This window comes from Homo sapiens, chromosome 3 (assembly GCF_000001405.40).
Source record: "Homo sapiens chromosome 3, GRCh38.p14 Primary Assembly".
In the NCBI taxonomy this organism is placed as follows: Eukaryota; Metazoa; Chordata; class Mammalia; order Primates; family Hominidae; genus Homo; species Homo sapiens.
In genome coordinates, this window is record NC_000003.12 from 72,439,452 (window position 1) to 72,447,963 (window position 8,512).

Genomic DNA, 8,512 nt, shown 5'->3' on the forward strand with positions numbered 1-8,512 from the left:
TTCTAAAAAGCACTTGTGGTCTCTATTATGTACTTGCTCATACCATGGCGTTCACATCACTGGGTACTTCACTGGCTTTCTTCTTATGGTCTTATCTGTCAACAAGTCTGCTAAGTTCCTTGAAAGCAGGAATTTTCCCATTTATTCAACCAATGCCTCAAAAGAGAAATGACTGATAAACAATACTATTGATGAGAGGCAAGAGCTGACTCCTTTTACGTCCTCTAAAAAAGCTGCACACACCGGGTTTCATTCCTTTTGCATAATGATGCCTGGAGGAAACAGCTGTTCAAGTATGTGGGTAATAAACACAGGGTGAAGACAGGTCCTCTCTCTAGAACGTGTAAGGAAGGGTCTGCATGCAGAGTTGAATGTCAAAGATATTCTCAGGATAAGACAGACTGGTAAAATAAGCAAGAACTGCACACAACAACATGGATGAATCCTGCACACCTAACCATGAGTGAAACAAGCCAGATTCAGAAGTATATGCATGTACCATGGTGCATACACTGTGGCTACTAAGCAAAGTGGTACATACAGTATGTATGCTTCTGAGTCTGGCTTGTTTCACTCACTGTGGAGTATACTGTATATAGGCAGTGGTACATACAGTATTTACTGTGTACTGTATACATAGTATACTCCACTCACATAAATTTCAAAAACAAGCACAACTGATCTCTAGTATTAAAAGACAGGAATGGGGTGGGAGAAGTGGCCCACAGGGGACAGTGCACAAGGGGCTTCCGGTAATGTTCTAGTAATGTTCTCTTTAAGAATCTAGGTGCAAGCCAGCACAGTGGCTCATGCCTATAATACCAACTCTCTGGGAGGCTGAGGCGGGAGGATCGCTTGAGCCCAGAAATAAGACACTAGCCTAGGCAACATAGGGAGACCGTGTCTCACAAAAAGAAAAAAAAAAAGCCCTTAAAAATGTGCCAGGCATGATGGCACATGTCTATGGTCCCAACTACTCAGGAGGCTGAGGTGAGAGTATCACCTGGGCCTCAAAGTAGGGGCTACAGTGAGCTGTGATTACACCACCACACTCTAGCCTGGGCAACAGAGCCAGATACCTGTCTCAAAAAAAAAAAAAAAATCAATCTGGGTGCTAGTGGCAAAGATATGCTCATTCTGCAAAACTTTATCAAATCCTTATACTTACGATTTGTGCACTTCTATGTATGCGACCGTTGAAAAAGTTTGTATCTATAGGTAAAAAGGGAAGTGGGAGTACTAGTTATGAAAAGTAACACAGAAGATGCCACAAAGAGAAAAAGCATGGGTGATGAGGCAAAAGAGAAAAGAAGTGCCAGAAAGACTGCAGAATGTGTTAGCTCAAGTCATTTAGGACACGAGAGACCTACTATTTACTCAAAGTCCTAATGAACCAAATTAGTTCTGATAACTATTTTGGTAAACTACAGCTACTTGAGAAAGTTTTTCTTAATCCTGGAATTTTCTTCAGCACCTACTGAAATACACAACAAATATATGCCACATGAATAAATAATATGTAAGTGAATCCATTCATAATCTCCCACCCTAATGACTAACAATACTAGTAAATTAGCTGGCCTAGGTTTAGTCTACAACATGGAACTAAGTTTATAAGTTTAGCAGCCTATGCACAAGGGCTCCAAATCTAAAAGCTGTCTGTCCCCCAACCAAATGAGCTAAATGGCACAGGTAAACCTACATAAGAATTATCCCCGGCTCCAAAAGGAAGTAGCATTACTTTTTCCTAAAAAATTAAATGCATTATCTCAACATTGTCTATAAAGCAGTCACTCCACCCAGTTCTCATCACTCTGTAGTTCCTTACCCTTCTCTAAATTCTTCGTAGCACTTGTCGCCAGCTGAAATTGTTATTTTTCTGTTAGTTTATTTTCTCTTCCTTTCCATAGTATTTTAAGCTCCGTAAGAACAGGGACCTGGTCTGTCTTTATACCACTGTACACCAAGAGCGCAAATGGCTGTGTGCTCAATAAAAACTTGTCAAATGACCACAACTACCCAGGTAATTTACTTTAAGGTCACCAAGTACACATAAGATCAAGTCACCACCAATAAATCAGTAAGTCCAATGAAACAGTAAACACAAAATAAATTATTACTCTGTTCCTGGGTAAAATGATCTTAAATTGTACCAGCTTTCAGCTTGGAAGGTTTGATAAAAGTTTGATTTGGAAGACAGGTAATTTTTATATATTTTTATGGAGAATTTTTATGAAAGACAAACACTACAACAAAAACAATGTCATGAAAGGAGCAAAACCACTGCTGTGGATTACCAGGAAACATGAGTAAGAGGCTTGGGCTTTGCCCAGTGTAGGTACCTTATCTTATTTCTGGGAGTTTTTCTACCTAAAAAGCATCACACGATGATGCCTTTTTGAAGCTTCCAGCAAAGATCATAGCTATGTTGTGTTTTTCCATAAAACTTCTACTAAAGTACTTCATGACAATTCAAGAGATTTTTGGTTGTCAGGGTATCTAAATTTAAGGGGGGAATGGATAGTTCAAAGCTACAACTGCAAAAAACTGGTAAATTCTCAAACAAGAGAAACGTATTACACACAAAACAGCTGCTTCTTCAACACTTCCAATTCAATATCCTGAATACCAAATTTTTTCAAAGATAATTATTTCTACACAATTTTATTCTACACCTAAAGTAATTTCCTCACTCATACTTGTGTATAAAAGCTCCAAAAACAGTCAGCTTTTCAGAGGGGCAGTATTCAAATAAACATGGATGAAATAAAACATGATCTCAACACAGCGATACATTTCTGGAGCTGAAGACCAGAAAGTTCTAAACCTATGGTAATTAGCCAAAGTAAAAATTTTCCAATTTTGCAAATGAATGTGATTAAGCAGTAGCTGAAAGTAAAAATGCAGGACTACTATCAAGGGAACACTAATCAACAACTATATTCAGCAATGTCTTGGTAATTTTTATTTTACAATTAAGGTAACATTGAATGCAGAGAAATAACAAGACAAGAAAAGTAAAATTAAATCACCAAGTCTAGGAAGCTACTCTGCCCAATCTTGAGAAATGCAACTTAACAAAACAACAGTTAGGGGCTGGGCAAATCCCAGCACTTTGGGAGGCCAATGGAGGAGGATCCCTTGAGGCCAGGAATTCAAGACCAACCTGAGCAACATAGCAAGACCTTGTCTCTTCATTTAAAAAAAAAAAAAAAAAACCACCACCACAACAAAAAAAACATCAGCTGGAAGTGTAGGAAGGTGGAAAATACAAAGAAAAAAAAAACACACACAGTTGGGTACATTCATGCATTTGTAGTTTTTTTCTTCTACTTTTAAAAGCCGGTATCCTCTTTCTTGAGACTGGCAAAGCAGGATGGGAAATACTACTTTACCACTTAAGAAAGGGATAGTGTTTCTCCCCCAGCCACTTGCCACCTTACACACACATTCTAACATGCACTTTTATTTTCTACCTTGAAAGGCTCAGGGTACATCAGCATGGTAGGGAAGCAACCTGTTGCCCATGACTTCTCCATTCTGTTCTGTTAGACTTACAGAACGGATATAACGAAACCATTTGACATGATGGAAATGTTCTAAAACTGGGTTGCCGTGATGGCTGCACAACTCTTTAAAATGACTAGAAATCACTGATTTGCAGACTTACAATGGGTGTTATAAGTAAATTATCACTCACTCCTGCAAGGCAGAAAGATCACTTGAGGTTAGGAGTTCAAGACCAGCCTGGTCAACAGGGCGAAACCTTGTCTCTACAAAAATTACAAAACTTTGCCGGATGTGATGGTGCACACCCGTAGTCCCAGCTACTCAGGAGGTTCAGGTGGAAGAATCGCTTGAGCCACGGAGGTTGAGGCTGTAGTGAGCCATGAGCATGCCACTGCACTCCAGCCTGGGTGACAGAGAAAGACCCTGTCTCCAAACAAAAGGATATATATATAACCAGAAAAGGCACAAAGAGTGGACAGTCTAGTTAGAAAAACAAGTTTATCAAAAAACCAAAGACACCCAACACATACTGATAATACATCTAAAATATAGATCTCTCCTGCTGCCCCTGAACCTCCACACAGCCTAGGCCACCTTCTTCCCTTAACAGATTCCTTAAGACCATCTCACCTTTCATTCTGCTCTATTGCTGCTCCAAAAAGAAAAAAAAGACCTCATTCTCAATCACCTTAACAATTCCACCTGCAGAACTAAAAATATCTGACGTACATGGTAATAGTGAAAAGGTGACAGGTGATTTTTTAATTCTCCTTGTCCAAAAGAAGTGGAGAAGAAGGAATCCTTCTAACTGATTCCCTAAGCCAGACCCCTGCTTCCGTACAGCCTTTATAATTGGAATTATGGTCATTCCCATACACGGCTTATCAACATTTTAACACTCCCCTCTCCTCTCTCCAATCCCTTCAGCAGCATCTTTCATATCCTACGAATTTAATAAGTGTTCTTCAGACGAATGGCAGTATTTTCCCAATCACATCAGCAATATCAATTCTACCCTCAAAGGGCAAATATAGTTCTCTATCATACTGGCCTACCACTAAGTCATAGGTGGTTTCCTTGGTTGACTGGTAGATGAAGGTGACAGTGATGAGAATGATCAAAAACTGCAAAATAACCACCGGCTAGCCAACTAGCTAGAATTGTTAAAATACATAACACCAGCTCAGAGCAATAAAATACAATTTCTGTGCCACGAAACAAATTATTCTAAAAATCACAAATATTGCCTATTACCCAGCATCCAAAACACAAGTTTTCTACTGCCATCAATCTATACCAAGTCTGATTAAAACTACACAAGATAGAAAATGTCAAGTTCATACTCAAACTTTTGAGGTACAAAAAAAATACAAGAGGGCCAAGAAAAAAACATGGCAGTAACCAGTATCACAAAGGGATTAACCAACAGTTAACACACAAGACAGGATAGGATGAAAACCTGTCAAACTCACTTCTCCACATAAAACCTGTTCATAATGTAGGAAAACCAAAACGTTATTTGCATTCCAACCAACGATGACTTCTGAATAGATCTAAAACACCAAAATATTGACAATAACCAAAATGAAACCAACTGTGGCCAGCTAAGAGTGTCATGAATGCACACAGTTTTCAGTCCTCACACCTGTTAAATCTGTATTCAAATTCTATTAAATGACATCAGAAAATTACTCGAAGACCCTTAAAGTAGACGCCTTTCCCTGTTCCTGAATAGACTCTAAAATATTTTCACTGTAAATAATTCAGTAGTTTTAACTAAGTTTCAACAGTCATCTGCGGCTCTGAAAAAACTTTAAACATACATACATACCTTTTTTAAAAGTCAACACCTTCCATGTGCTTCCGAAAAATTGATGAGTAAGGTTTTTTAAAATACATGTTAAAAGCTGAAATGCACTTCATTATGAGATAATCATTCCCAGCGATAAATCAGACATAAACTTTTGAATTTGGTTTACGTTTCTCTTCACCAGTAATGTTCTCAAGTTCTTAGGAGTTTCCTAATCATTTACTTGAACACCATCTACGGTAACACTCAAAGCAAAACCACAATAAAGAGGTTTGGCCTCTGAGGGCTTCTACATGTAAAAAACATTACTCATAAATAATATACAATCACTACTGCTTTAAATAACAAATACATTTCTAAAAACTTTCATGCCATTTGATGGAATTCCCTATTTTAGACAGCAAAACAAAATCTATGAAACTACTGATGCGTGTTTTTTACTTTAGATATATTCCATGATAATACAAAACACCGACAAAAATTTCTTAAAACAACGTATGGAGTAATATTTTTAGTTTTTGATTATTTTTATTCAAAGGTATCATCATTTAAAGAGTGCAATTCACAGAAACAATAATTAGGCCAATTAATCTCAGAGTTAGATTATTTTAGGTTGCCCAATAATCCTATTTAATCCCAAGTATAAATAAACCAATGAAACCTTAACATGACATATTCATCTAATCAAAGAACAATATCCAGTTGGAACTGTGAAGTACTACTACACAGTCACACTGAAATGTCACCAATTCAAAAATAAGTACCTGATAAAATGAGACTTTTGGCAATCAACTGTAATGTTCTAAAGGATCCACCAAAAACTCATTCTTGTCTCACACACACACCCAATGCCTGTTCATTAAATGACACCAAGAACAGTTTAACTTCAAACTCTAACGCCAATGAAACAAATTCAGACATAAATTAAAAGATGACCAAAAGACTACATGAGTCTTGACATTTTATCCAAGTATTTATGAATGTTAAATCTAAAGTAGTTAACTCGTTTTAACATCACATGCAGTTTACGACCTTCATCAAAATGAAAAGGAATTCTTTCAACATTCTTTTCATCATCACAGAGCTTTAAACACAAACTTCCACAGTCACTGCTCATTTCACCATTTTACAAAATCGTCCCCCATCACCACCCCACATAAGCTAGTCAAAGAAAAAAAAAACTGACAGCTCAGTCTCCCACAAAATGCACTTACTTTATCAAATACCGACATTTATTTTCAAGTGCAAGAAAGTAACAGACATTTGCAGCTCAAGACAGGAAAAGCACAGCCAGCCTTACTACCCCCACTAAATTTCTCAGACAAGAGAAAAGTAACTCGGGACAGGCAAATTAAAACCATTCTACACATGGCAAAAATATAAAACATCTATGTCCTACAATCCATAGCGATAGTACTGCTTCCTCTCTTCCCCAGCCAATACCAATAAGCCAATAGACACAAGTGTCAAATAAATCCAGTGTCCGTTTGAAATAAAATGAAAACCTGGAAAAATTCCCTCCCATAAATCATTTAGCGAACACAAGGCTTTTCACCCAACACTTAATACACTCAACCCAAAAACACACACAACCCACCCGCAAATACAAAAAAAGCCGTAATCAACAAGTTGGAAAAAGGGCAGAAAGTAAGGCTCACTACCCTCTCACTTAAAAAAAAAAAAAAAAAGTCCTTTAACAAAAGGTAACACAGATCTTCAAGTACCTGGTGGAGGTGCCTTTCCTCACATCGCAGATGCTGCATTTAAAGGCTTCAGCACTGTTTCTGAAGGTGCAGACGCTACAATCCCAAAACCCTTCGTCTGCGGCAGGTTTCGCTTGTCTTTTTGGCCTTCCGAGGAGTGGAGAGTGGGGGAAAAGGGAGGGAAGAGGCAGGGAGCAGGAAAACGGGGGAGAGACAGCAAAACACAGACGCGGGTGAGCCGTCGTAATTTCGCAGGAATCCAGTGCTGGAAACTTCGCTCGGGAGACCACCCACCCACCCTTTCCGGGGACTGGAAGAGAGAGCGAGGAAGGGAACCGGGCGCCCCCACTGGCACCCTGCAAGCCCCGGGCCCGGGCCGGATAGCCTCGCACACCAGGCGGTGGCGGCGGCGCCCCGGGAAGGGCCGCGGCGGGCGCAGGAAGCGGGCGGACTTGTGGACTTGAGCGTGGGGCTGGGGGGGCCGGGAGGGGAGCCGCGGGCCGGATCTGGAGGGGGCGCGCAGGGGCAGCCCGAGGCCGGCGACGGGGAGTGGGCCGGCTCCTTCCCTCTCCACTCCCAAGCTCGCGCCCTCCCTCCCTCCCCACCTGGTTAAATCCATCACAGTCTCCGGACGAGACTAGTCCCCGCCAGCGCCGCCTCCGCCGAGTGACTGACGAGGGGCGGGGCCTGGCGCCGCGCGTCACGCGCCGTGCGGCCAATGGGAGGGCGGCGGCCGGCGCCGCGAGGGCGGAGGCGGGGCGCGGGGGAAGGCGGGGCGTGGCGGACGTGGGCCGGGCGGTCGGTGTGCGTGCCCGGGAGTGTGTGCGCGCTGGGGGCGCGCGTGCCTGTCGGTGGCCCCGCGGCCCGGCGCGGCGGAGCGTGCAAGCCCGGCGGGGCGCACGTGGCCGCGCCCGGGAGCTGGCAACTGGCTTCGGGCCCCGCACGGCGCCCCGTGAGGCTGTTGCCGGGACCCCGGCCCCGAAGCCGCCCCGGGGAAGTAGTTCCACGCAGTTTGCGCGCGCCGCGGGAGCTTGCAACAGCCTCACCGCTCGCAGCGCCTCGAGGCTTGCAGTGCCCAGGGGCCGACAAGGTCCACCTTTGGACCGCGTTCCCCCGCGCCCCTCTGTTCCTCTGCCATGCGGAGCTTTGTATTTGCCTCTTCTGAAGTCCCTGCGTCCGGCCGAGACGCTGGCCCGAAGCCCCACTCCCTGTCAGGCCCCTGTCGCGGGAGGGAACAGTAGAGAAAGGGCGTGGCATAACTAAATGCCCCCAGGCCAGACTCTGAGCTTCTGCTGGCGGACTCCTCCTGGGATCCTCCTCTCCCCTAGAGTCTAAATAGGGCGTTTCCTTAGGGAAGTTGCTATTCAAATTCTGGCGACCACATGCCCGCATTAAAACCTCGTGCCTCAGCTCCTTCATCTCCAAAATGGGGCTCATCCTCCCAGGGTTGTTTTGAATATTCGGAGAAATCAGGCATGGAAGGTTCGCT

The 8,512-nt window shown here is 42.8% G+C and overlaps 1 protein-coding gene across 1 annotated transcript in view, besides 3 other annotated features; it reads right to left on the reverse strand.

Annotated features, from left to right (window-relative positions):
- The window catches only part of RYBP (RING1 and YY1 binding protein), a gene marked incomplete at its 5' end in the record, with an annotated part of 72,027 nt that extends 64,855 nt beyond the window's left edge, over positions 1 to 7,172 (reverse strand). The window contains 1 exon segment of the mRNA NM_012234.7: positions 7,045 to 7,172. Coding sequence (NP_036366.3) covers positions 7,045 to 7,172 — 128 coding nt within the window.
- Positions 907 to 1,006: an enhancer, noted in NCBI's record as "active region_20086". NCBI's record gives its function as "activates an Ori minimal core promoter by ATAC-STARR-seq in GM12878 lymphoblastoid cells {active_cell/tissue: GM12878}" and the evidence as "EXISTENCE:reporter gene assay evidence [ECO:0000049][PMID:35858748]".
- Positions 7,489 to 7,548: a silencer, noted in NCBI's record as "silent region_14528". NCBI's record gives its function as "represses an Ori minimal core promoter by ATAC-STARR-seq in GM12878 lymphoblastoid cells {active_cell/tissue: GM12878}" and the evidence as "EXISTENCE:reporter gene assay evidence [ECO:0000049][PMID:35858748]".
- Positions 7,609 to 8,018: a silencer, noted in NCBI's record as "silent region_14529". NCBI's record gives its function as "represses an Ori minimal core promoter by ATAC-STARR-seq in GM12878 lymphoblastoid cells {active_cell/tissue: GM12878}" and the evidence as "EXISTENCE:reporter gene assay evidence [ECO:0000049][PMID:35858748]".